Below are 27,222 nucleotides of genomic sequence, written 5' to 3'. Positions count from 1 at the left end.
GACTGATGTTGTAGCGCACAGTGGAGGCTTGTGGCTTGTTGCAAGATTTTTGTTGCTGTTGAGGTGTGTACCGGTCTGTAATGCTGAACATCTCTGCTCTGGAGTCTGGGGTAATTCTTATCTGTAGTCTTTTTGCAGTAAGCAGCTCCCAAAGGCTCACAGTGTGGACCCAATGCATGAGATGACTGGCATTTTCCTCCTTCACAAACCACCCATGACTCCCACCGCCCCCACGACCTCACCAGTTCCTCACATCCTGGCTTCCCCAGCCCATCTCTCCCCTCTCCCTGCCACAATGTCTCAGCCACGCCTGCTGCCTCTGTGTTGCGTAGACATGTCTTCACACTTGGGTTTTTCCCCCACATGCTTCTTTTTCCCCCCGTCTAAAACAATGCTCCCCTCCCTTGAGTATGTGGAGAACGATTCATGATTAAGCCCAGCTCTCAGGTTCCATCAGTGTGATTTTCCCAGACTCTGCCGGAAAGATTGTGTGCTTCTCTCATTTGTGTTCTCAGAACTTTTTATACACATACAGTGTGATATTTGTTTGTGTAGTTTTTCCTTAAGCAGATCTTGCCCACTAGAGACTGGGGACACGGGACACAGTGAGGTGGCCTGAGAGATGGTCCCACTTTGGTGGGGGCTCTGTTTTCCTGGGGAGGTGACCACACAGACACTGCCCGTGCTGTCAGAGAGTCATGTGCAGGGAGAGATGGGGACAGGCGGCCCGGCCAGGAAGGCTGCACGAGGAAGTGGCAGGACCGTGGCCCCACTCTCTTGGTGTGTAAGGGTGGATTGGGCTGTGGGACAAGTGGCAGAGGGAACAATTTCTAATGCTTAAGCCAGCAGCAATTGCCACTGCAGGCTATGGCTATCTGTTTAACTCCTCGAGGGTGGGACCTTGTGTCTCTTCAGGCTCTGAGCCAGACTGCCAGGGTTCCCATTCAGGCCCTGCCTCACTTAGCTGTGACTGGGCAAGTGCCTCCCTGCTGGGCTTTCTAACTAAATGGGGGCTTCCCTTGGGGAGTCTGAGGATGACTGCAGTGTGTCCCAGTTCTGCTGGGTCACTCCTCTCCCCATAGTGGCGACGGGATCAACCTGCAGGGCTTCTGAAGTTGGACTTGCCTGTAGTTTATCCCTTGTCATTGTGTGATCTTGGGTAAGAAGATTAACCTCTCTGAGCCTCCATTTCCTGTATAAAAGGGGGCAGTGGCATCTCTTTGGCTAGGTTGGTGTGGGGATCAGAGGTGTGGTCTCTGAGCAAAGGTAGCCGATTTATGAGGGGTGATGATGGTGAAGAAGCTATGAGAATATTTATTCATTTAGCCTTGTCACAGAGCAAACTCCCACGCCCACATTTGGGGTCCTTCTTTAGCTAACGATGAAACTAATGATCAGAGCAGTGGCCACCATTGTGGTGGGCTGAGAGGTATGAGGGACCAGGCTAGGTCAGTGGAACTGTGTTGAGGACCAGCTCCCACCCTACTGACAGTGTGACGTTGGGCAAGTCGCTTAGCCCCTGTACTCACTTCTTTTGTCTGGATAAGGGGAATGAGGGCCACGTAAGGAAATATCAGCACTTAACCTCCCGCTTCTGCCTCGGGTTATCTCATCTTTGCTGCACGGGCACCACACAGGGTGAGGTCTACGTGAACACCGCAGAGGGAGCCAAGTCTCAGGACACTGGGGGACTCAGAAGTGGGGCTCCCTGACTCCGGGCCTCAGATGTTGCCCCACGGAGCACACTGACCCTTGTAACGGAAAATGACCTTCCAACAGGGATGGCATGAGAATAAATCAGAAAGCCTTCTTGGTGCTTTTGTTTTTTTTTTTTTTTTGACAGAGTTTCTTTCTTGTTGCCCAGGCTGGAGTGCAATGGCACAATTTTGGCTCACTGCAACATCCGCCTCCTGGGTTCAAGTGATTCTCCTGCCTCAGCCTCCCAAGTAGCTGGGATTACAGGCACCTGCCACCATGCCTGGCTAATTTTTTTGTATTTTTAGTAGAGACAGGGTTTCACCATGTTAACCAGGCTGGTCTCAAACTCCTGACCTCACCTCAGGTGATTTGCCCGCCTCGGCCTCCCAACGTGCTGGGAGTACAGGCGTGAGCCACCGCACCTGGCCCCTTCTTGGTGCTTTTAATGGAAGCACGTCACCGTCATGTCCGTAGTGGCCATTGGTGTTGCTGTAAGTGGAGGCTCAGACAGTGACCCCAGGGCTGGCCACTGGTGGGACCACAGCATCCTGACTCTAGCCCTGGATGCCTTCAGAAAGTATTTTCTTTGCTCATTCTTTTCTGAGGCCAGGTGGACTGTGCAGGGGGCTGTGGATCAGCAGGGAGGGGCAGGGACAGGGAAGGAGCTGTGGGGGCCTCATGCTGTGAAGGGCTGGGTTAGGAAGCCCTGTAGGAGGTGGGACGCAGGAGCGCTTGCAGGGAGTGGCCACAGTCACTATTAGATGCAAAAATAATCACGGTTTTTGCCATTACTTTTGCACCAACCTCATACTGGAAAGTAGAGGAGAAAGGGCCCGTGGTGAAAGCACCTAGAGGCAGTTCAGAGTGTGGGAGGGGCAGCTCCCCAGTGGGGCCGGGGGCATCCCTCCTGCCTTTGATGTTAGTATTGGTTTTCAGAACTGCAACCCGAAGTGTTATGCCTTTCATAAGTCTGTAGAGGTGAATGGACAGAAAGGCTGTTTTTCTTCATTATAACAGTTAACATGTGTGAATGGCACTTAGCAAGTGCCAGGATCTATGCCAGGGGCTTTTGTAAATAAAGTTTTATTAGAACACAGCCACGCCCATTTGTGTATGTATGGTCTGTGGCTGCATTTGTGCCAGACTGGCAGAACTGAGCAGCTGGGGGAGACATCTGGGAAGCCAAAGACATTTACTCCCTGGCCTTTTCCAGGAGGAGTTTGCCTCCCGCTGGTCTGTGCTGTCCCTGGTCTGACTGAACCCATTCAGTCCCAGAGGGAGGCGCACACCTGCATTTCTATTTTATAGATGCGCATAGAGGGGCTCTGAAGCTCGCCAGGGATTATAAAGCGAGTATGTTCCAGAGCAGGGATTTGAAGCCAAGAAGCCCATGTTCTTTTGTGGGGGAGGGGACAGGAGCAGGGAGATTTATATTTTTATTAGCTTCTAATTTAATTTTACCATGTTAAGAGAATGTGTGTGATATCTATTTTCAAAAATTTGTTGACAATTCCTTGATGGCCTAGCACCTGATCATTTTTTAAAATATTTTTTCATCATGGTTAATGTACTAAATATATTAAAATATTTAATCATGGTTAATATATTAACCATTTCTAAGTGTGCAATTCAGTGGCATGAAGTACATCCACACTGTTGAGCAACGAGCGCTACCATCCACCTCTAGAACTCTCTATCATCCTCACCTGCAGCCCACATTCTTCACTGATGCCATGTGCTGTCTTGTGGGAGTTTTGTGGAATAAAACAAATGTTAGTGGCATCACAATTTAGCAGAGAAGGCTTTGACATCAGACTTATGTTTGAGCACCGGCTCTGCCATTTACCGGCTATTCTTGTCCCATTGTCTGCAGCCCCCTGAACCCTCTGCAACTCAGGTTCCTCATTTGGGAAATGGGGATCACCCCAGTCTGGTCCCTGCACATCCCTCGGTTGTGAGGATGAGACTAAAGAACGGAGGTGAAAGGCCTAGTCTAGGATCACGCCGTGGACAGCAGCTGCAGTGGCGGGTCCCTTTGTTGGGCACCACCGCCCACTTGTGTTAGGTCAGCCTGTTCCCCTCTGTGTGGTCTGAGGTGGCCCCTTTATCCTTTCCAGGGCTTGCAAGCATCCTCAGGACCCACTGCACATCCTAAAACTCCCAACTGGCCTGGGAGGACCTGGGTACAGGCTGCCTGCTCTCCTGTCTCCCACCGTGGCTTAGACTGGCTGAAGGGCCACTTTAAGGAATGAAAGGGGTTCTGTGTGCACCAGCCAGGGACTGCCAGTGGGTGCTCATTGTGGCAGAAATACCCTTATGCCTGCCAGGTCAGAGGGAGGCGCTGGCTCGGTGTGCTGGCCTCTGAGCTTCTCCCTTGGCTGCATTTTGAGTCAGGAGCCTGGACTGACCCGGGTCCCTCCACAGCACTGGAGGGGGTGGGACACATCACTACAGGGTTTCCTTCCATGAGGACTCTGAGGAGTTGACAGTGGAGGCAAGGAGTGAGCTGGTAAGTAGCTTTCCACTATCTTTTACCCTTGGAGCTTCTGTCTCCTGTCTTCTCTCACCCTATCCTGTTGCATCTGGTGGCTGGTCACCCCTCTCTGCTTGTTCTGACATGGGACTGTATTGAATGAGATCACAACCTGTGTCTTCCATTGAAGCAATTCTTTTTCCCCTTCTTTTTCTTAAAAAAATTGAGGTGAAATTCATTTACTGTAAACCGTTTTCAATGGTACAATTCGGTGGCATTTACTGCATTCACGATGTTGTGCAACTGTCACCTCAATCTAGCTGCAAAACATTTTCCTCCCTCCGGAACAAACCCTGTGCCCATGGGCAGTCATTCCTCACTTCCCCTCTCCCAGCCCCGGCATCCATCCATCTGCCCTCTGTCTCCTTGGATTTGCCTGTTCTGGATATTTCACAGATGTAGAACCAGATCGTATGTGGCTGGCTTCTTCCACTTAGCCTGATATTTTCAGGGTTCACCCATGTTATAGCAAGTGTCATCAAGTGTCATTGCTTCCTTCTTCTTCATGGCGGAGTAGTATTCCATGGTGCGTATACAACACAATGGTCTATTCATCTGTGGATGGACATTGGGGTCGTTCTCACCTTTGCGGCTGGTGTTGGAAGCAGTGCTCAGGGTGTTAACATTTTCTTCCCAGGGCTTTGGCTGCTCAGGTCCTATTCTGCAGGCTCTTCCACCCTCTCCTCCCCTGCTCACTAATGCATCAGTTCAGCCTCCCATGATCAGCATCGTGCTGGGGGCTCCCAGCCTTGACTTGTCCTTGAAACCTGCAGAATGGTTGTCGGCTCCTCATTTTCCAAGCAAGAGCATGGGAGCACCCCGAGGCAGGAGGGACGATGCGGGAGCCAGCCGAGTGCCCCAGAGAGGCAGCTGGCACAGCGCAGGGAGCCCTGGCTGCCTTTCTTTCGGTTGCAGAAACATGCTGGATTCTTGCTGCTCAGAGCGCTTGTGTGAGCTGCTTGCTGCCTGGAATGTTCATCCCTACCCTGGCCCAGACTGGCTTCTTTTCATCCCTCACGTCTGTATTAGTCAGGGTTCTCTAGAGAGACAGAACTAATCGGATATATGTGTATATGAAAAGGAGTTTATTAAGGAGAATTGACTCACCGATCACAAGGTAAAGTCTCACGATGGGCTGTCTGCAAGTTGAGGAGCAAAGAAACCAGTGGCGGATCAGTCTGAATCCCAAAACCTCAAAAGTACAGAATCCAACAGCACAGCCTTCAGCCTGTGGCCAAAGGCCTTAGAGCCCCTGGCAAACCACTGGTGTAGGTCCAAGAGTCCAAAAGCTGAAGAACTTGCAGTCTGATGTCCGAGGGCAGGAAGCATCCAGCATGGGAGAAAGATGGGGCCAGAAGACTCAGCAAGTTTGCTCTTCCATCTTCTCCTGCCTGCTTTATTCTAGCCACGCTGGCAGCCGATTAGATGGTGCCCACCCACACTGAGGGTGGGTCTGCCTCTCCCAGTCCACTGACTCAATTGTTAATCTCTTTTGGGAACACCCTCACAGACACACCCAGGAACAATACTTTGCATCCTTCACCAATCAAGTTGACACTCAATATTAACCATCACAATGTCTCAGCCTAAATTTCTCCTCCTTGGGGAGGTCTTTGACTGTCCCAGATAGCGGCTGTGCCCCTGGTTCCCATCAGTACCCTGTTTGCTTTTGAGAATCATCATGATCTGAAATGATTTTATTCTCATTTCCCCTCCCCAGAAGCTAGAATCAAGCACTATGAGGGCAGGAACCCTGCCTGTGGGGTTTCTCCTCCTCTGTCAGCCTTGGGCATTGGCACAGAGCAGGTGTGCAATAAGTAATCACTGCTATTGACTTAATTTCCGAACTCCACCCTGCTAGCTCTGTGATCGAGTGCTCGTTCCTTCATCTTTCTGAGCTTCACTTCCTTCTTTTGTGAAATAAAGAGAATGTCCCTATCTCTTGGGGTTGGTTTTGGATGTAGACCAAAACCAAAACAGGCTCAGTGGCGTCTGCGTGCAGTGGGTGTTTGTCAGCCGGTGCTGCTGCTGGTGTTACTTGTGGAAGTCATGGTCATTGTGATTGTGAATGAGTTTCCTAATGCCAGGTGACTCATACACTTGTCCTGAGGCCACCAGGGGACCTCCTGGAGCTGAGCTGTCCCATTCCAGTAGCCACTCGCCGGTAGGGGCTATTGAGCACTGCAATGCGGCTCCTGTGGACTGAGATGGACTGTGAGTGAAAAATACACCCTGGCCAGGCGCGGTGGCTCACGCCTGTAATCCCAGCACTTTGGGAGGCTGAGGAGGGTGGATCACCTGAGGTCAGGAGTTCAAGACCAGCCTGGCCAACATGGTGAAACCCCATCTCTACTGAAAATACAAAAATTAGCTGGGCATGGTGGCACACGCCTGTAATCCCAACTACTCGGGAGGCTGAGGCAGGAGAATAGCTCAAACCCGGGAGGCGGAGGTTGTAATGAGCCAAGATTGGGCCATTGCACTCCAGCCTGGGTGACAAGAGCGAAACTCCATCTCAAAATAAATAAATAAATAAATAAATAAATAAATAAAATGCACTCCTGGGCTTGAAGACGTATGAAAAAAACGGAATGTAAAATATCTTAGTAATAATTTTCACATGAATTTTACTTCAAAATAATGCTATTTTGTATATATTGGGCTAAATGAAATGTATTATTAATTTCATCTTCTTTTTACCTTTTAAAATGTGGCTAGTGAAACTGTGAAATTACACGTGGCGTGCATGTTGTATTCCACTGGGCCTTGCTGCTGTAGCTGTAAGCTCCAGAGGGCAGCAGGGTCCAGGCTCAGGTCTATGGGGCTTACCCTCCAGCTCTGCCTTCTATGAGGTCTGTGACCTCAGGCAAGTTAATGAAATGGTTTTTGTGCTTCAGTTTCCTCCTCTGTAAACAAGAAGCTCAGCCTGATGACAAACAATGACAGTGCACCTTTGAGGGCCACCTTGTGCGCTGCGAGGATCTGGGTCCCCATGAGGACAAGGGGTGGCAAGGTCTTTGCCCACAGCAGCTTACGTTCTGGGGGAGGGGAGACCCATAGCCTCCACAGGTGAAATACAGAGGCTGACCCAGCCACTAAGGCCCGTGATGAGTTCTCTGAGGGCCTCAGGAGGGACATGCAGGGGACAGTCACACTGGCGGTGGGAGCTGTGTCTCTGGCTGTGAGCCCTCGGGAAGGCCTGGTGAGGAGCGCAGGGGTAGAGCTGTCTGGAGTCTGGAGCCTGACACACACTGGGGTCTCACTCACTGGCATCCACGCCCATGACTTTGGCGTGGCCCAAGAGTGTCGGGCCACTCTATTGCCTCTTGGCCACTCAGTGGCTCTAGCCTGTGTAAGTCTTTTGCAATATTAATTGCACCAGGATTGAAGAGTTTCCAACCTCACGTTCATTTTCTGCACTCCCTGCATCCCCCAGTATGGGCAAAGCTGCTGTTTGTCCCCATCCTGGAACTGCCCCACACCAGCTCTGATTGCCGAGGGCAGTTGACTCTCAGGATGTGGTGCAGGCCGCCTGTGCTCTTGTTTGATGCAACCTCTCTGCTCTGGACCCCATCTCCACTGCTTTCTGTCAGACCCAGGAGGGGACTATGGGCCGAGTTCCCAACCCAGCCAGGAGCCACAAGGGAGACATGTCACATCACCCTGGGAGCTCTGGCGTCCTGGGGTATCACCCCATCCCTGTCACTGGGTGTGTGTGCTTGTTCCACATGGAGAGATGCCGGGGGGCAACTTTGTCCTGAGATTTGCAGGCGTCAGCTAACACTGTCATCCTTATTTTCCTTGTGCACACCTGCCCTCAGGTGCCTGGCATCGTGCCGCCTGCTGGGGTTGGGGGTGGGAGGCGGGGTGTGCTCAGCAGACCTTCCTCCCCAGGCCTCTCCTTGGACCTCCACCACCTCATTGCTGGGGAGTGAGTGACTTATCTGAGCTTGCACAGGTGGAAATGGCAGTGGCGGGTTCAGCCTACCTCTGGCTGCTCCTAAGGGTGCTGTTCACTTATGGAAAGAGTGTAGGATGAGCAAGTCTAGAGAGGAAAAGTGCAATATGGGGACTTTGTTAATACAATTGCATTTATTGGGGGTTTTTGTTGAATAAGTAGATTTTAGCTGCTCTTGCAACAAAACATGTGTAACTATGTTAGATAGAGATATGTTAATCTGCTTCACTATAGTAACCATCTTATGATCTATATGCAGCCTGTAACGTCATGTTGTAAATTTAGCCTGGCATTGCAGCCCCCCCCATGGCCTGCTCCCAATTCAGCTCCCATCATTTCCCCCATGAACCATAGCCCTCTCCTGAGAACTGCTCCTCGGGTGCCACTTCTCCATCCTTCTTGGGCCCCAGGAGTGGGGAGACACCCGCTGACTTCCTCTACAAAGGAGGATTGAGTGAATGAAGTCATTGGGGCTAGATTCAGACAGGCCCAGGGGCAGGGGAATGGACTAATGGGGCTTTCTTCTCTCCTCTGATTTTGCCAGTGTGGCATGGCCCACGCTGCCTCCCTCTCCTGCCACGCCTGCAGCAGAGCCTGTGTCTAGCTACACAGTCCCCCGGCTGCTCTCGACTGAGCCAGGCCTTTGCACATGCTGTTCCCTTTGATAGATCTGCCTGTTCGCCTCCCCCACCCCATCCACTTGTGCTTAAGATCCATCATGCGCCTTCCTTCAGAAAACTCCATCCCCAGGCTGGGCCAGGTAGGGCCAGGCATAACCCCAGGGCCCTCACTGCCCTACGCCACCCTCTGCCCTAGCCACTGTGTATTGCAGCTGCCAGTGACTTGTCTGACTCCTCCATTAGACAGAGGGCTCTGTGAGGGTAGGAATGCTTTCTGATTCACACTGGGACTCCCACAGCCTGGCCAGGGCAATGTGCACAGTAGGTGGTTAATAGATTTTTGGCTTTTGGTCTCAGATTCCCATAATGTCAGTGTTGGGAGGGACCTTAGCAGGATCACAGTATGTTCTCGCCATTGCTTGCATCAGGTCCACTCTGCGCTGAAAAAAAATTCACTCTGTTCTCTGCAGAAGCCACCTCTAGTGACAGTCAATTGTCTGAGCCTCAGATACTATAATGCTTGGGGTGGGAATACCCCTGATTGTTGTATCAGTCCAGAGATGAGATTTGCGAAGGTTCTGTAAAACTCAAAGTTTCCCTTTCCCTCTTCAGACTGGCATTTCGCTACCTTACGGTGCAGCCTGCTTTTAGTTTAAGGCAGCAGAAAAATGTTAGAATGCTGTTCTTCAGAAACAAACTGCATTCCTGTGGTCCCGGAAGGTCACATTTCTTATTCCATTAGCCTGGTTTTTCTCTTTCTCCCAAGCCATACCCTCCGAATGCACTGTGGAAGACAAACCTTCTTTCTGGATGTTGGCAGGACTGCTTTGTTGGACCAGGGCGCTGGGTGAGTGAGCTCATTATGCCCGGCAGTAATTGGATTTCCTCAGCAAGTCTTGGAGCCTTCCAGGCTCAGGGCTTGACGAGGTTCTTTTTGCAAACCAGATATCTTATTTTGAAAAAGGGCCTGGATGCCCCCACATTGTGCCTAATCTATTTAAACCACTGGGCAGATGGGTGCTTTCCTGACATGATCTATCTCTCCCAGGAAGTACCATAGGCACCCAGGATGAACCAAGTCTGTGAGAGCCTGTGTATTGCAGAGCCCCGGATTTTTCTATAGGGACAAATGCAAGACACTTCAGACTGAAGACACAAACAAGTCTTATTGCTGGATAGGATATTAAAAATTGGGGTGCTCTAGCCAGAAGATGGGGGAGGGATGCAGGTGCCCCAAACCTCAGGTGCCCCAGATTAATAAGTTGCTAATTTGGAATTTCACGATTCATTTGCTCCTGGGTTGTAGCTTCCCTTCATCATTGTGAGTGAGCAGAGGGCTTTGGGGGTATGCTAAGAGGTCAAGTGGCAAGGAGGTTTGGGGTGTATTAAGTCACTCTTAGGTAGGGATGTGGGCTGAACATTTTGGGGTGGTGTCTTATCTGTTTATTGTTGGAAGTGGAGAAAGGACCTCTCCTTATCAGAACCTCCTGTGCAGGTGTCTGTGAGAACAGTGCCACAGCACTTGAAAACGCCATCATTGCGGATTCTGTTCTGAATCCTGACCATCCCTCCCCACCTTAGTCTGAAGCAATGAGCTGTCTCCACACTTCCAGTCACCACATGTCACAAAGGGGATCTCGAAAATACAGTGGCCCCATTCTGCCTCCTTGTAAGAAGGTCAAGCTGTAGACTTCCAATCTTCCAACCCAGGAAGCTGGTAGTGGACATTTTTGTAGATGGTGTTCAGAGACTCTTGGATAAATAATTGATTGGCTCCCATTTACTGGAACCAAAAAGAAAAAAAAATGACAGATTTGAAAATTAGCCATTTAAGAAACTTAACATTGTCAGAAAGGTAATTCTGCTATCTACATTTAAAAGAAATACCTCTTTGAAGTCCTTGCTCCTGACTTACATGGCAAACACGGTGTCTGATTCATTTAGTGCAAAAGAAGGCAGTAATGGAAGAATAAAGGAGCAAAAATGACGTGAGGCATATTGAAAACAAAATAAAATGGAAGACATAAGTCCAACTATATCAATACTATTAAAGATGAATAGGTTAAATAAGCCAGTCAAAAGGTAGATGTTGTCAGGGATAAAATATATGATCCAAGTATATGCTATCTTGGTCCTTTCAGGCTGCTATAACAAAACACCTTAGACTGGATAGCTTATAAACAATAGAAATTTATTTCTCACAGTTCTAGAGGCTGGGAAGTCCAAGATCAAGGTACCGGCAGATTCAGTGTCTGGTGAGGCCCTGCCTCCCCATTGACAGCAGTCTTCTTGCTGTGTTTTCACATGGTGGAAGGGGTGAGCTAGCTCCCTAGGGTTTCTTTTACAAAGGCACTAATCTCATTTATGAGGGCTCGCCCTCGTGACCTAATCACTTGCCAAACGCCTCACCTTCTAATGCTATCATACTGGTGACTAGAAACATATGAATTCTGGGGGTACATAAACATTCAGATCATAGCACTGTCTATAGGAGACACACTTTAGATTCAAGGATACAAATAGATTGAAAGTGAAAGGATGAGAAAAAATATATCAGGTAAATAGCAACCATAAGAAAGCTAAGGGGCTGTACTGATATTAGACAAAATGAGTTTAAAACAAAAAAAGTTACTAGAGATAAAAAGTAACATTTTATAATGACAAGAAGTTCAATACATCAGAAATATATAACAATTATAAACATATTTGCACCTAACAACAGAGCACCAAAATATATGAAGCAAAAACTGACAGAAGTGGGCTGGGCATGGTGGCTCATGCCTGAAATCCTAGCATTTTGAGAGGCTGAGGTGGGCAGATTGCTTGAGCCCAGGAGTTTGAGACCAGCCTGGATAACATGATGAAACTCTGTCTCTACAAAAAAAATACAAAATTAGCCAGGCATGGTGTTGTGTGTCTGTAGTCCCAGCTACTTAGGAGGCTGAGGTGAGAGGATCACCTGAGCCTGGGGAGGTTGAGGCTGCAGTGAGCCGTGATTGCACCACTGCACTCCAGCTTGGGTGACAGAGTGAGAGACTGTCTCAAACAAACAAACAAAAAACCTGACAGAAGTGAAGGGAGAAATAGATAATTCAACAACAATAGTTGAATATGTCAACACCCACTTTCAATAACAGATAGAACAACTCTACAGGAGGTCAACAAGGAAGCAGGGAACTTGAACAACACTGCACACCAATTAGACCTAGTGGAAACCTATAGAACACTAGACCAAGGACATCAGAATAAATATTCTTCTCTAGTGCCCATGAATCATTTTCCAGGATAGACCATATGCTAGGCCCTAATACAACCTCAATAAAATTAAAAGGAGAGAAAACAAGCAAACAAAAAAGCAAAGCACGTTCTGTGACTACAATGCAATGAAGTTAGAAGTCAGTAGCATCAAGCCATGCCTGGCCTGTAGCTGATGTTCAGTTCTTGCCAGCCAGACACCAGAGGCCCCCACTTTTCCCTTCCTGTCTCATCCTCCATCACTCCTGCTTGCCCCTTCACTTGCCTTTGCAAACTGACTACTTGACTACTTCCCTGACTCTAACCACCTCCTTTTCCAACTTCCATGCTTTTGCTCACCATCCCACTTTCCTGGAATGCCCATTCCTTGGACTTCCCCACCCTGCTGTGCCTCCTCAGTCTGCATCCTGCCCATCCGCCTGACCTGCCCCTGGCAAGCTCCAGGGAAGCCTCGTCGGCTGTTCCTGCATTCCCCTCACTTCAGCTGGGAGCTTTCCCTGCTTAGGAGTTGTGTAATTCTCACCACAACTTGTTCGTTCTCCTTCCTGTAGCCCCTAGCCAGACACTGTGTTGAGTGGCTGGCTGTGTCCACTTTCATCTCCATTACTGAATGGAGTGCCCCTCTTCTCCCTCTTATTGTCCAGCACAATTGGAAATGACCTCCACACTGAGGTAATTAAAAAAAAGTCCAGTCTGAACTAGTGTCATATTTAATTGTAGTCTATAAATATTTTCTCAATGTAGTTTTAATAGTTTAGATAGAAAACTTGGCTGTGGGCTGTTAAAGGTATTGTCTAGAACACCTGCCTTAATGAGCCTTAATCAGGAGGGTTTGTAGTGAACAGATCTGAGAAGTGGTTCTCAAAATGAGGTCCTGGGCCAGCAGCAGCCTCACCTGGGAGCAGCTCAGAACCACAGGTCCTCTGGCCCCACCCTGATCTCCTGGATCAGGGACTCTGCAGCTGGGGTCTGGCTTTTGTTTTTTTGAGACGGAGTCTTCCTCTGTCGCTCAGGCTGGAGTGCAGTGGCGTGATCTCAGCTCACTGCAAGCTCCGCCTCCCAGGTTCACGCCATTCTCCTGCCTCAGCCTCCCAAGTAGCTGGGACTACAGGCGTCTGCCACCACGCCCGGCTAATTTTTTGTATTTTTTAGTAGAGATGGGGTTTCACTGTGTTAGCCAGGATGGTCTCGATCTCCTGACCTCATGATCCGCCCACCTCGGCCTCCCAAAGTGCTGGGATTACAGGCGTGAGCCACCGTGCCCGGCCCCTGGGGTCTGGCTTTTAATGAGCCCTCGGAGCAATTCCAATACACTCTCCAGTTTAAGAACTAGGGCAGACAGGGCTGGTTCCCACTTGTATTAGTCAGGGTTCTCGAGAGGGACAGAACTGATAGGATAGATGTATATATGAAAGGAAGTTTATTGGGATAATTGACTCACAAGATCACAAGGTGAAGCCCCACATTAGGCCATCTGCAAGCTGAGGAGCAAGGAAGCCAGTTCGAGTCCCAAAACCTCAAAAGTAAGGAAGCTGACAGTGCAGCCTTCAGTCAGTGGCCCAAGGCCTGAGAGCCCTGGCAAACCACTGGTGGAAGTCCAAGAGGCCAAACGCTGAAGAACTTGGAGTCTGATGTTCGAGGGGAGGAAGCATCCAGCACGGGAGAAAGATGGAGGCCGGAAGACTCAGCAAGTCTGCTCTTTCCAAATTCTGCCTTCTTTATTCTAGCTGTGCTGGCAGCTGATGAGATGGTGCCCACCCACACCGAGGGCAGGTCTGCCTCTCCCAGTCCACTGACTGAAATGTGAATCTCCTTTGGTAAGATCCTCACAGACACACTCAGGAACAATACTTTCTATCCTTCTGTCCAATCGAGTTGACACTCAATATTAACCATCACTCCACTTATCCTGTAGTTATGCATTCTGTTTGGCTGTTTCTAAAATAGTTGACAATTGGTTGCTTCCCTTCGATAGGCACAATCACCCCTGCTCTCTTGCTGAATCTACAGGTGAGCGCGGGGGACCCTTGTTTCCTAGAGTGCAGACAGCAGCTCTTCCCGTCCATATAGCACCCATCCCACACTGGCGCTCAGGGTGGAGGGTGTGCTTGGCTTCTAGTATTTTCTTGAGGAAGAGGGAAGGCACCCTGGCTCTTATACTGCACTTGCCTTGCCCTCTCTCCCTCCTTGTGATGCTGAGTGTGGGCTGTATTGTCATTTCTAGGAAAGGAGGGAAGGCGGCAGAGTCTGAAAACCAGCAGTGGGCTGGGAGTAGGGAGGCGTGTGTTCGAGGCATGCCCCCTTCCTGGCTGTGGTGCCTGGGAGCGGTTCTTCCTTCCCTAGGGCATTTGTGGAGTGTCTGCTATGTGCTGGGCACCTGGTTTCTGCCTATTGAGAAGGGATGATACTCACAGGACAGTGTGATACACTCACCTCTCTTTGGGTTTGTTTTCCCATCTGCAAAATGAAGTCTTTTCAAAAATAAAATTTTTACATAGCTAAACCACCCTGCTCCAATATACAAAACAGAGAAGTGATGGTTTATTCTCACATTTATCTTATGACTTTAAACTGACAACATTTACCAGTTATAAGGTCAGTCAGTGAGGACAGTGAGGTTGCTCTGATGAATTCAACTTTCAAAACGAAAAGTATAGGGTGACAGTTGCAATCTGAACAGCTGTGGCATCTTGAGTATTAATGGACTTTGTTGTGGTTGTGAAAATATTCTGTTGTGACGATTTGCATACCGCATTTGTGATTCCGTTTTTGGGAGTGACTTGTCTTGCATTCTCAGAGTGCATTTCACTGGAGATGACAGGAGAGGCTGTCCCCCAAGCCCTGCACAAAGCTGAGTGTTCACCTGGCAGCCCAGGTCCCTGCAGTGGGGTCTACCAGGGTTAATATTGGGTTTGCAGCCCATTTGAGTTGGTGTGATGTTTTCACAGTTTAAAATTATTACACCTAGAAAAAAGAAGTCAAGCATCTGTTGCTCCAGACCTTTGACTCCTGGCCCTCCCAAACATCTTCAAGGAGCACCAGGACTCCATGGAAGGTGGTTTGAAAACCAAGTCCCAGCACCCTGAGTACTGAAGTTTCTGTTCCATTTTACTTTCTTTTTTAAATTTATTTATTTATTTATTTATTTATTTATTGAGACAGAGTCTTGCTCTGTCACCCAGGCTGGAGTGCAATGGCATGATCTTGGCTCACTGTAACCTCTGCCTCCCAGGTTCAAGCGACTCTCCTGCCTCGGCCTCCCAAGTAGTTGGTATTACAGGCACCCGCCACCAAGCCCGGCTAATTTTTGTATTTTTAGTACAGACGGAGTTTCACCATGTTGGCCAGACTGGTCTCAAACTCCTGACCTCAGGTGATGCGCCTGCCTCAGCCTCCCAAAGTGCTGGAATTACAGGCGTGAGCCACTGCACCTGGCCCTGTTCCATTTTAGACATCAGCCAGCACCCCTTCGCAGGGCACCTGTATCTGTGTGTCTAGATATCTGTGGTATTGTTATCTGCCTGTATCATGTTTAGCTCTTTGTTCTGTCTCAACCTTCAAGAGTCCTTGTATTACTAAGATGGGACCTGGGAACCTGGAGCCTCCAGGACCATCACTGGCTGAGCTGAGCTGAGCTGAGCGGGAGGAAGGGCTGCCTTGGGAGCTGGCACTGGCCTGACCTCCAAGTCTCTGTGAGCAGACCTTGAGGGACCTGTGCCTTCCTAGGCATCTCCAGGTCATATCTGCTCCCTTCTTCCTCGGGATGGCTGTGGAGTTATAGGAAGTGTTTGGGGAAAGGAGCAGTTGTATCTAGAAACGGTGATATGTTTCCGAAACTCACACTGTCACTCCACTGCTCCAGGGGCTCCCCGCTGGCCCAGGATAAAGCACAGACTCCTTGTCATCACACATGTGGCCTTATCTCCTGATGCTCCTGCTGTTACCTACTGTCTCAGACCATTTGGCTGCCATAGCAGAAATACCATAGACAGAGGGGCTGAAACAACAGAAGCTTATTTCTCACCGTTCTGGAGGCTGGAAGTCTGAGATCATGGTGCCAGACAACTTGGTTCATGGTGAGGCCCCTCTTCCTGGTTCGCAGGAGGCTGCCTTCTTACTGTGCCCTCGCATGGTGGAGAGAGAAAGGAAATAAGCTCTCTTGTGTCCCCCTCCTTTTTTTCTTTTCTTTTCTTTCTTTCTTTCTTTCTTTTTTTTTTTTTTTTCTGAGACAGGGTCTCGCTCTGTTACCCAGGCTGGAGTGCAGTGGTGTAATCACTGTTCATTGCAGCTTTGAGCTCCCGGGCTCAAGTGATCCTCCCACCTCAGCCTCCCAAGTAGCTGGGACTACAAATATGCACCACCACACCTGACTAATTTTTTTAATTTTGTAGAGATGAGGTCTCATTATGTTGCCCAAGCTGGTCTTGAACTGAGCTCAAGCAATCCACCTTCCCCGGCCTCCCAAAGAGCTGGGATTACAGGTGTGAGCCACCGAGCCTGGTTTCCTGTCCCTTCTTATAAGGTCACTAATCTCATCATGAGGGCTTCACCCTGATGACCTAATTACCCACCATAGGGTTTCAATGTATCAATTTGGGGGGACATAAACATTCACTCCATAACACTGTCCCTTACCTTATTGAATCGTCTGCTTTCCCTGAACTTGCCCAGACCCCTCCTCCTCCTGTCTGCACAGGCTCATCTCCTTGGGCATCACCCATCCTCCCAAGGCCAGGGCGGGTCCCTCCCTGTACATCTGTCTGTCACAGCCATGGTCACAGTGTGTGACTGATGCCATTCACAGTCTTCTTCCCCGCTGGCTAGAGCTCTGTGAGGGAAGGGGCTGTGTGAGATTCATGTTTGAGGCTCAGCACAGGGTCTGGCATGGAACAGGCACTAGGATGCTGTTGAATGAATGAATGAATGAATGGAGCTTGCGTTGCTGCTGCTCTCCCTCTCTGATGCCAATTGACTTTTCTTTGACCCCTGCTCCTCCATCTGCATATCCTGATTTCACCCCTTCCACAGCCCACTTTGGATGTCCCTTCCCTCACCACGCTGGCACCCATAGGCCCTGGTCTCCCAGTTATCACCTGGGCTTGTTACAGTGTCTCCTTTGCTTGGCTAGGAGCTCCTCAAGGGATGGGGGAGCCACTGAGACATTGAGGGACTCTGCAAATGTCTGCACCTGAGAAGGACTTCCTTCTGTACTGAGCTGGTGGTAACCTGATAGTGACCTGGTAGTAACCTGGCAGTAAGCTCATCTTGGTTTATGTACTCCAGGCCTGTAATTAGTGTTACTCTTCGAGCCCCTGGTCTCTTCCTCTCTCAGCATGACCCTCCCCTCCACCCTTTCTGGAACTGCTTTCTTGAGAGGAAGCCTAAGAAATGTGAACTGCGTCCACCAGCACATCTCACAAAGCCTTGTGCACACAGGAGGTGTTTGGTAGGTGTCTGTCAAGGAGCGCCCTGTTCAGCATCTAGTCATATCAAGCCCACACGGGGTGGTGAGTATAGAAAGGATGTAGAAACCACAAAAAGAAGTTGCCCTTTGCTTGGAAGTCACTGACTACCCCTTCTTGTTCTTGGTGGTGTGGTTACTTGCTAGTCTCTTGACTCATTTCAGCAGAGGTGAGACAGAAACGACCTGATGGCTGGGGCCTTTTCTGGGACTTCTTAAGGGGTCTTTGCACGTTAATAAAGGGGAGATTCCAAAATGATGCAATGAGTTGGCCAAGAGCCAGCAAGTAGCAGTTGAAAAAGAAAAAGTTTTTATACTAAGCTTGGGACTTGAGCAGCTAGACTCCTCCCTGCTCAATGTGCCATGGCCCTCTGAGAACAAAGCACGTTGACAGAAAATTAAATGTCACTGAATTAGCTGCAACATCCACTTGCTACAACCTCCACCCCCACTTGCTAATTGGGTCATGTTGGTCAAAGTACTTCACCCCTTCCTGCTGGTCCATTAAAATGGGGGTACTAAGAATACCCTTGTCACAGGGCTGCAGAATACTAGGTAATTTGGACAGTTTGAAACAGTTCCTGCTACACAGTGAGAGCTATATAAATGGTGACTTATTACTTGGTGCATGTTTGTTGAATTGTAGTAAATTATCTGATGGGAGAGGGGTGTCTGTGTTGTTATGGTGCTTAATTCTTCTTGTAGCACAGGTATCGGTCCCCATTGCCTATCCTCACCTCCAAGTTTCTCTCCTGTTCAGCAGCTGATAAGATTTTATAGTGAAAATCTCAATAAGAAAGAAGACTTCACGTGCACAGAATGTTCTAAAGGAAGCTTCATTATGTTCTCTTGAATGTTGATAAACAACTCTCATTTCTATTTGATGAGAATTTTTTGTGGGTTCTGAATGTTACGAGTAGCAATTTTATCAGAAATTATTTCTGTTTGTGGGTATGTTTGGTGGGGAATTGAAGTTGGTGGTTTTCTGATATTGGAAGCATTTCATGAACTGGGGTATTTCAAAACTGCTGTTTATGAAAGTGTTGGGGCTAATTCAGTGGCACTTAATTTTCTGTCAATATGCTTTGTTCTAAGAGGGTCATGGCTTGTTGTGCAGGAAGGAGCCTGCTGTTTATCCCTGCAAATGTTCTTGCATGGCTTCTAAGAGGATGTCAGGCATGCTGCTGGTCCTAGGGATAGAAAACAAAACAGACACAGTTCTTTGGGCAGCTGGGAACTGGTCTTAGATTCAGAGAGACCTGGGTTCAAGTCCTGACTCTGTCATTTACAAGCTATGGATTTTAAGAAAGTGACTTCACCTCTTTGAGCCTCAGTTTCCTTATCTGTCATATGGGGATAATATTGCTACCTGTTTTACAAGGAGGCTTTGAGGATGGATTGAGATGAGGTGTACCCAGCATACTACCTGGCATAGAATAGTCTCTTCTTTTGAGTGGCAGCTCTTGGTTTAGCTGTTGCTTTTGGTCTGGGGGCAGGAGTGATACCCCAAGAGACCCATGCAGCCTGACTCAGGGCCACTGCTGGGCCACTTCCCTTCCCTTGTTCTCTGCCTGGTGCAATGAGCAGGGTCACCTTTTGCAGAGGAGGTAGGTTTGTGTCAGGGCAATGGGCTTGGTTTCCTGTGGGTTTGTGGCTTTGTAGGGTTGTCCCTTGACGGTGCCTGTAGGGGGTGTCAGGAAGGTAGAGGAAGGAGGTGGTGGTGGATGGGGCAGGGTCTCCCTGTGTGGGGCTCAGCCTTCCTGTCCTGTTCCATCCAGTCTGCCTCTTGGCTGTTGCATTTACTGAGTACTCACCTGAGCAGGTGCTTTAGGTTCCTCTTTAAGCCTCTCAACCACCATGCAAGATGGTAGGAGGAAACCAAGACCCCACGAGGTTAAGCAGTCATTTAGGGGTTAGAGTTAGTGAATCTGGGGCTTTGAGATGAGAATCTCACCCTCTCTCCAGCCACATAGGGCTGCCCAGGTGGTTTCAGCAAAGGTGGCATGGGAGACCTAGGTGTGCCTGTGGGTCCTTCTAAGACCATTTCATGAAAAAGAGCAACAAAGGTTTGAAAAGCACATTCTAGTCTTTCCCCAACCACTCTCTGGACATATAGCCCAGTTTTATTTTTTCCTGGGAATATGCTATACCAGCTTTGTAACCTGATCTTTTTGGATGTGGCAATCCATTCTGAAGACATTCCAGAGAAACAATTCATAAATGAATGACCGAGTGTGCTCTCCGAGCCAGGCACTGTGCCGGGGCAGGGAGACAGCTGGTGAACAATCCCATGTGAAGAGGGAGGGACCTTAATCAAGTACGAGGTGCTCTGAGGTTGGGAGATGGGGGAGGTTTGTGTGGGGATGAGGTCAGTGGAAGCCTCTCTGGAGACATGACCTAGAGAATTTGGTAGGGTATATTAGTCTGTCCTCACATTGCTAATAAAGACATACCTGTGACGGGAATTTATAAAGAAAAGAGGTTTAATTGACTCACAGTTTTGCATGGCTGGGGAAGCCTTAAAAAACTTACAATCATGGCATTAGGGGAAGCAAACACGTCCTTCTTCACCTGGCGGTATCAAGGAGATGCAGTTTCGAAATATCCCGGTTCATGAAATGCTTCCAATATCATCAGAAAACCACCTACTTCAATTCCCCACCAAACACACCCACAGACACAAATAATTTCTGATAAAATTGCTACTCGTAACATATTCAGAACCCACTTAAAGTTCTGATCAAATAGAGCTTACTCACTATCATGAGAATAGTATGGGGTAAACTGCCCCCATGATTCAATTACCTCCCGAGAGGTCCCTCCCACCACACATGGGGATTATGGGAACTACAATTCAAGAGGAGATTTGGGTGGGGACACAGCCAAACCATATCGTAGGGTAACAAAGGAAAAGCTGCTTACCTGAAAGGTAGCCACGTCTCTCAATTCAAAAATGAGATACAAAACATTAAAGGGTCATTTTTTTATACCCATGGGGGACAAAGCTAAATATATCAAAGCCTTGGGCTTCTGTTTCCTTCTTTCCTATCCCTCCCCTCCAGGGAGGAGGGTCGGGGACAGGAAGCATGAAGTGGGCGTGGCCAACGAGGCGGGGTTAGGGGCTGGACAGGAAGTGGAAAGGGAGGAGTCATGTTTGACTTTAAAAGCCTGCAGCCGGAAGTGAAGCCGGATGCACTTGGAGGTGGAAGCGTGAGATTGAGTGGTTAGGGTTAATCTCACCTCTTCTGTGCAAAATTAACTTTGAGTTGAGGCATCTTGGCTGGGGCTGGGGAAGAGGAGTTGTGGGCAGAGGGACAGCCTGCAGCGTGTGCAGAGGCTCAGAGACAATGCAGAGGCAGGGGCCACCCAGGTCACTGTGAAGATGGTGGCTCTGATGTGGGTAGTGGCATTGGGGGTGGAGTGGAGGAGGTTGCACTGATGTTTGGGGGATGCAGCCATTATTAGTATGGCTATGATCTGCCTCCGTCTGTGGGAGGGGCTGCTCTGCTTCAGACCCTGCAGTGGGTGCCTTAATTTGTTTAATCCACACAACAGCCTCAGGACAGAGAAGTGAGGTGTGATGATGCAGGTCACACAGCAGAAGGGTTGGATCTAGGATTTGACTCTAGGTCCAACTGACAGGGAAGCCCAGGCTCTTTCTCTTACACCCTTCCCAGGAGGCCCAAATTTTCAGAGGCAGAAGCCGTGGCAAACATGGAGGGCTTGTTGGAGTAGGTGATGATGTGGCTTATAAACCTTTACTAGGCTAAGTTTGAGGCCCAGAGTAATTAGAGCTCAGGACTGGGAGTAAAGGGGCTGGGTTCAAATCCTGTCTTTCTATGTACATTTGGATTAGCCCCACCCTCCCTGGACTCCACATCCCATCTGTGCAATGGGGAGGTCGGATCAGATGGCCTTTCTTAAAGTCCTCTCCAACTTTGGAGCTCACTTCTTCTCTACATCAATATTTGCTAAGTGTTTTTTCCCTTTGGGAAGATTGACGTTTGTCTACCAACACCCTCCTACCCGAAGCTCCCTTTTGGTTTCAGGATGCCAGTGGGTGTCTAGGCATGGTCACATGGTCACTGCTCATGACAACAAGGTTTGTACCTTTCCGATCATTTAAAAAAAATTTTTTTGAGACAGGGTCTTACTCTGTCACCCAGGCTGGAGTGCAGTGGCACAAATCATGGCTCACTGCAGCCTCAACCTCCCCGATGCAAGCGATCCTCCCACCTCAGCCTCCCCAGTAGCTGAGACTACAGGCACATGCCACCATGCCTGGCTAATTTTTGTATTTTTTGTAGAGGCAGGGTTTCGCCATGTTGCCCAGGCTGGTTTCTAACTTCTGGGCTCAAGTGATCCGCCTGCCTCGGCCCCCAAAAAGTGCTAGGATTACAGGTGTGAGCCATGGCGCCCAGCTTTTCCCACCACTTTGATATAGGCTCCAATTTCTTGCTGGCCACACAGGCTGGCAAATCCTGGGTCCTTTTGCATGTTCAGTGGAACCTTGGGTGAGTCATTCTACCACTGCAAGCCTCAGTTTCCCCATTTGTAAACATGGAGTTATCTCCCAGCCCTTAATTCCCTGACCCCATTGCCCCATTCTGAGTGTGTCCGGGTGATGTGGTACAGTGCTGCGTCTTGTTTCTACAGAACAACCGTCCTGTGGTAGGAGTACTGAGGAGCTTGGTAAATAGATTAAAATGTACAATACAGCTGAACATCGGAAATCCTTCCTTGGTCCCGTTCAGCTAGGCTGGAGGTCCTATCTGGTTTTGCCTCCTAAAATGTTTGTATTCATGGTTCACCTCAGGGATCTTCATACCCCACCAGACCAGGACACAGCCTAAACACTGTCTCTGCCTTCAGGGGCCCCGTGGAACCTGCTGCCAGGCAGTCCTCCATGTTGACTCTGGAGCAGCTGGTCTGAAACGTATGAGGGGGTGATCTGTCCTTTTCCACCCAGGTGTAACCCTCTCCGTGGCTCCCCACTGTGCTCAAAGTCAAACTCAAGCCTGTTAGAGATTTGTAGTCCCTTCTTCTCACTAGATCTCTGACTACTCCAGGGGAGCATTACACCATGTTCATCTCTGTATCTTTAATGCCTGGGAAGTATCTGGCACTTAGTAGGTTTTTCAGTAAACAATAATGATGCTGACTACCATTGTGTTTATAATGAGCAAGGGACCTCATCTGCTGTAAAGATTCTCAATTTACAGCCCTGTGGACAGTGGTAGCACCGTTATCTCTGCTAGATGGAACCCCAGGAAACTGGTTCAGAGAGGACAAGGGCCTTGATGGGTCAAGATGATTGTTGAGTAAATTTACATTTAGCCATTTAATCTCTTTAAAGAGAGTTCCAAGGCATCTGCTACTTTAATTGGAAAACAATGTCTGAGTTTTGAATCCTGTCTTTTCCAGGTGCCGAGAGAGCCACGGATTGGCAGGCATGCCCCAGGCACGAGCAGGGTGCTGGTGTTCTAAGGCAGCATCCATCTGCCTGGGTGGAGCTGGGTAGGTGGGAAATCCTGCCTGGTGCCAGCCATGCTGGAGTGAGTCCTCAGCTGAAAGCAGGCTACCATTTTTATCTCCTGTGCAGAGAAGATCAGTGATGAGTCATGAGCGAGATGCTTGGGGACTCCTTATCCCTCAGTGTCTGCTGACTTCTCGTCAGTATTGCTACTGGGAACTTTGAAAATTGTCTACAAAATTCTTGAAAGTGTTGCAAAAAGAAAAAATGGCATTCACCTGTACTCCCAGCGCTGAACTGCTGTGTTGCTGTTCTTTCAGGCTTTGTCCAGAGGCAGCGTGAATGTAGAGACCGTTGGTAGAGATGAAACATTTTACTTTTTATTGCGGAATGAAGGGACCCCATTTGGAGCTCACTTACTTGTGTCCCGGTTCTATCACATGGGAGTTCTGTGACTTTGGGGAGGTTCCTTAACCTTTCTGAGCCTTCAGGGCCTCAGCGGGCCCAGAGAGTGTCACTTGCCTGCGTGTCAGTGCTGTGTTGCTGCCCCCTGATGTTGGTCAGTTTGGCAGGTGAGGGGAGTTTGGGGGGACTTGTGGGAAGGTGAGGTGGGGTCTTAGATGAGGAAGGGCCTTGTCCAGGCTAAGGAGTTTGGTTTTTACCTGCAGGGCAGTGGGGAAACCGAGGATAGCCTGTGGATACGTTTTACTGTTTTTTGTTTCTCAGAAAAGCAGTGGCCATCACCAAGATCAAGAGACACGGGTCAGAACTCCACATGGTTGAGGGTGGCCACAGTCCAGGGGCAGATGGGGCCACATGGGTGGGCAGAGGGTGAGGAAGGGGCCAGGGTGCAAAACAGTTGGGGCGACAGAAGGAACCAGTCCTTGACACGACGGGGTCACCTGGGAGCTGGGTGTCGTGGTGTAGTTTGGGGTGCTGAGGTATGAGCAGGGAGGGGGTGGGGCTTTACACTCCCAGGAGTCCTTTCAGGAGAGCCTGGGGTAACGGAGCGTGTTTTAGCTGCTCCGGGGGGTTTCGGGGAAGACTTAAGGCTCTAGAGATGGGGAAACTGAGGGCTGCAGCAGTGTTGCGACCTCTCCACAGGACCCAGCAGGTTGAGAGCTGCGAGCCCAGGCCTGTTCTTCTGCACCCTGGTTCGCTCTGGTGCATGTGGCCAGCTCCCAAGGACAAGAGGGAACCATCGGGCCTGAGGGCCCGTGACCTCTGATTTCTTAAACACGGAGCCGAAGACCAGGTCTGGCATCAGCCAAGGATTCACGGTCCTTTCTCGCTGTGCCTGGACCCTCCCAGCAGCCCTCCCTTATCATATGTCACACCTGACTCTTGCCCTGGTGATGGCGATTATTCCTGATTGTCATTAAATTTTACTTTTCCACTTACTTTTGGAGTCTGTGGTTCACAATACCTCTGACGGAGACCTGGCTGCATCCTGTTTACAACTGCTCTTTCATATTAATAAGTGTTCTGAGGCCTGGATCAAGGCCTCACATCATCATTTTGCTATATAGGGTATTATTGCAACGATTGGTGATGTTCGAGTAGGAAATGAATCAGTGATAAAATTTCTGATTTTGATCATTATGTTGTGATTTTATGTATGTATGTATGTACGTATGTATGTATATATTTTCAGATGGAGTCTTGCTCTGTGTTGCCACCTTGGCTCACTGCAACCTCCACCTTCCAGGTTCAAGCGATTGTCCTGTCTCAGCCTCCCAAGTAGCTGGGATCACAATTCCTGGCTAAATTTTTTTTTTGTATTTTTAGTAGAGATGAGGTTTCACCATGTTCGCCAGGCTGGTCTCAAACTCTTGGCCTCGAGCGATCCGCCCGCCTTGGCCTCCCGAAGTGCTGGGATTACAGGCGTGAGCCACCATGCCCAGCTGGTGTTATGATTTTATAAACGTCCTTTTCTTCAGAGATAAAAGTCACAACATTTAGGGTGAGATGTCGTGGTGTCTGCAGCTTACTGTCAAATGGCCCACAAGGATAGAAATACACACATCTATCCTTATAGATAGAAAAATGGGATAAGGAAAAATTAAACAGTTGGTGAATCAAGATGAAGGTGTAAAGGGATTCATTGTTTGATGTCTTTGGAACTTTTCTGTAGGCTTTGGAATTTTGCAATAAGACATTTTTAAAAAGGTGTTCCTAGTGGCCAGGCTGTATCCATCTGTCAGTCCTGTGGTCTTGGTCACCTGAGGCAGAGTGGAATGCTTGCTCCATAGTTCATATTTGGCATCCTCTTGGGGAGCAGTTTTGACATAAAGCCAGAGGCTTTTGACGAAGTTTGTTTCTCTCCCCATAGAGAAATCATTATATTTTTAGAATCTTTGCTTGCAGACCAATTTTCCTTCAAATTTTCATTTCTTTCCTTCCCCTACATTTTTATTAGAGTTTGATTGCCTTGTAAGATCACTGAAATAGTGTTTGTAGTTGTAACTATTCAATTAGAGAAAAGACTAAGGACATTAACAGACCTTCTTTCTCTCCATCCCTCCAGATTCTACCCCCTGTATGGTAACCAGTGGGAGGTGAAATCTCCTGAACTTTTTCCTGTGCTTGCAGGAACCCACACAGATAGGCGTGAACATCTTGTAGGGCTTGGTTTCTTCTTTTCATTGTTTATCCTTTGTTAATCGGGTTAGCCTCCTGCTAACATTGAAGTTTCAGCTGGGGCATCACCTCCTCCAGGAAGCCCCCAGGCTCTCAGCTCCAACCTCACCCCAGTGCAATCATCTGATTACGAGATTCCTCCTTTGACTGATCTTGGGTAGTGTGAGAGCGGCAGCTGTTCCTGTTTCACCCTCTGCACTCGATCTGGGAGCCAAGAGATGCACAGTCAGTGTTTGTGGTGTGATCACGGGGGCAGGGTGGGGCATCTTGGGCAGGGTGGGGCATCTTGGGCAAGGATGCCACATGAGCTGAGCTTGCAGGTGAGATAAGTTTTCTCAATCAAACATCCCTTCCAGTTTCTGGGAACAGAGTCCTAGGGCCCTGAGCACCTGGGGACAGAAGGTCACTTTGGGGACCTTGGTCACTGCCATTAGGGGCTCCCATCCCCTGGCTGATTCAGTCCCTGCACAATGTCCTGTGTGGGTGGGGCAGATGAGATGGCCGTGAGCTACCTAAAGTTGGGGCCAGGGCCGTGTCCTCTCTCCTCCCCAGGGGTCAGAACAGGCTGGGGTTCTCGGGGGTAACTGGAAGAAACCCAGGCCAGAGCTGGAGCAGCATGGGACTTAGACATGGGCTGGCCTGGGTCTCTTGTCTTTCCAGTATTCCCAGTCCTTCCTCATTACAGGCACTGTTTTCTGCAGCTGGGATTTATTAATGTTATCTGCAGATCGTCTGGTGAGTGCCAGGGGACCAGGTCACTGCCAGCTGAAGGAAGTTGAAAGTTGAACAGGATGTAAAGCTGAGGGCTGGCTTCTCGGCCAGTGCTCGGGCAGCATGGAGGAAAGCATCCTTTGCCCTGAGCAGCTTTCCTGCCAAGTCAGACCAGAGAAATCTGTGCTGGCCTGATCACAGGATCCTAGACATTAGAAGCATTGGACCAGTGTTTCAGAAGGATTTACCTTAAGAGAAAAGAGTGGGACTGAGAATTCCTGCGTGGCCTGGTGTGGGATGTGTCCAGGGAACAACAATCAGGTATCACGTGGGGGAGCTTGTGGGAAGATGGAAGGAATTCTGCTTTCTGTTAGTTGTTGCTTATTAATAAAAAATATCAGTAATGCTTGGCTGTTAAATGTCTGCATGGCTTTGCAAGAATATACACATCACCAGGTTTGAAACAGGCATTGTCCCCACTTAATGGAGGCATAAACTGGGTTGTGAAGTAATTTTTGTGCAGTCAGGGATTGTCAACACATTCAGCCAACGAACGAGCCTCGATTCCGTGCCAGGCAGGGAGTTGGCATTTGAGATGAGAGAAGCACAGTCCTACCTGCACGGTACTCCTGGGTTCAGTAGCTTTTGAGGGTGAACCGCCAACCTTCAAGACATGTGAAGACTCTGTCTTCCCACACCTATCACTGTTGTGCACTCATGCTCTTGGCATTCCCTACTAGACACATACTTGGGGGGGGATCGAGACGGTTTACATCACAGTGGGCTCTGGATCCTTCCCTCTGTTTCTCATCTACCTTTCCACTAGGCTGATGTTCTTTGATGGCTGGACACACATTGGCAATGCCTGCTGGT

At 49.0% G+C, this 27,222-nt stretch overlaps 1 protein-coding gene across 4 annotated transcripts in view, besides 5 other annotated features; it reads left to right on the top strand.

The window, feature by feature from the left end:
- The window catches only part of JAKMIP1 (janus kinase and microtubule interacting protein 1), a 174,351-nt gene that overhangs the window by 1,852 nt on the left and 145,277 nt on the right, over positions 1-27,222 (top strand). For 2 of the 4 annotated variants that reach the window (NM_001306134.2, NM_001306133.2), the window contains exon 1: positions 4,079-4,207. The exons of the other annotated variants lie outside the window; for them this stretch is intronic. The gene's annotated coding sequence lies outside the window, so the exon portion shown is untranslated. Of the gene's footprint in view, positions 1-4,078; positions 4,208-27,222 lie in introns of those variants that run through there. 4 annotated transcript variants of the gene reach the window in all.
- Positions 14-63: an enhancer, noted in NCBI's record as "active region_21254". NCBI's record gives its function as "activates an Ori minimal core promoter by ATAC-STARR-seq in GM12878 lymphoblastoid cells {active_cell/tissue: GM12878}" and the evidence as "EXISTENCE:reporter gene assay evidence [ECO:0000049][PMID:35858748]".
- Positions 184-343: an enhancer, noted in NCBI's record as "active region_21253". NCBI's record gives its function as "activates an Ori minimal core promoter by ATAC-STARR-seq in GM12878 lymphoblastoid cells {active_cell/tissue: GM12878}" and the evidence as "EXISTENCE:reporter gene assay evidence [ECO:0000049][PMID:35858748]".
- Positions 6,888-7,508: an enhancer, noted in NCBI's record as "H3K4me1 hESC enhancer chr4:6192917-6193537 (GRCh37/hg19 assembly coordinates)". NCBI's record gives its function as "activates a minimal SCP1, AML or CMV promoter by ChIP-STARR-seq in primed H9 embryonic stem cells {active_cell/tissue: H9 hESC(primed)}" and the evidence as "EXISTENCE:reporter gene assay evidence [ECO:0000049][PMID:30033119]".
- Positions 17,630-17,919: an enhancer, noted in NCBI's record as "active region_21252". NCBI's record gives its function as "activates an Ori minimal core promoter by ATAC-STARR-seq in GM12878 lymphoblastoid cells {active_cell/tissue: GM12878}" and the evidence as "EXISTENCE:reporter gene assay evidence [ECO:0000049][PMID:35858748]".
- Positions 25,786-25,935: an enhancer, noted in NCBI's record as "active region_21251". NCBI's record gives its function as "activates an Ori minimal core promoter by ATAC-STARR-seq in GM12878 lymphoblastoid cells {active_cell/tissue: GM12878}" and the evidence as "EXISTENCE:reporter gene assay evidence [ECO:0000049][PMID:35858748]".

The sequence above is a fragment of the Homo sapiens genome, chromosome 4, assembly GCF_000001405.40.
Source record: "Homo sapiens chromosome 4, GRCh38.p14 Primary Assembly".
Lineage (NCBI taxonomy): Eukaryota > Metazoa > Chordata > Mammalia > Primates > Hominidae > Homo > Homo sapiens.
This window is presented reverse-complemented; position numbering and strand designations above follow the sequence as displayed.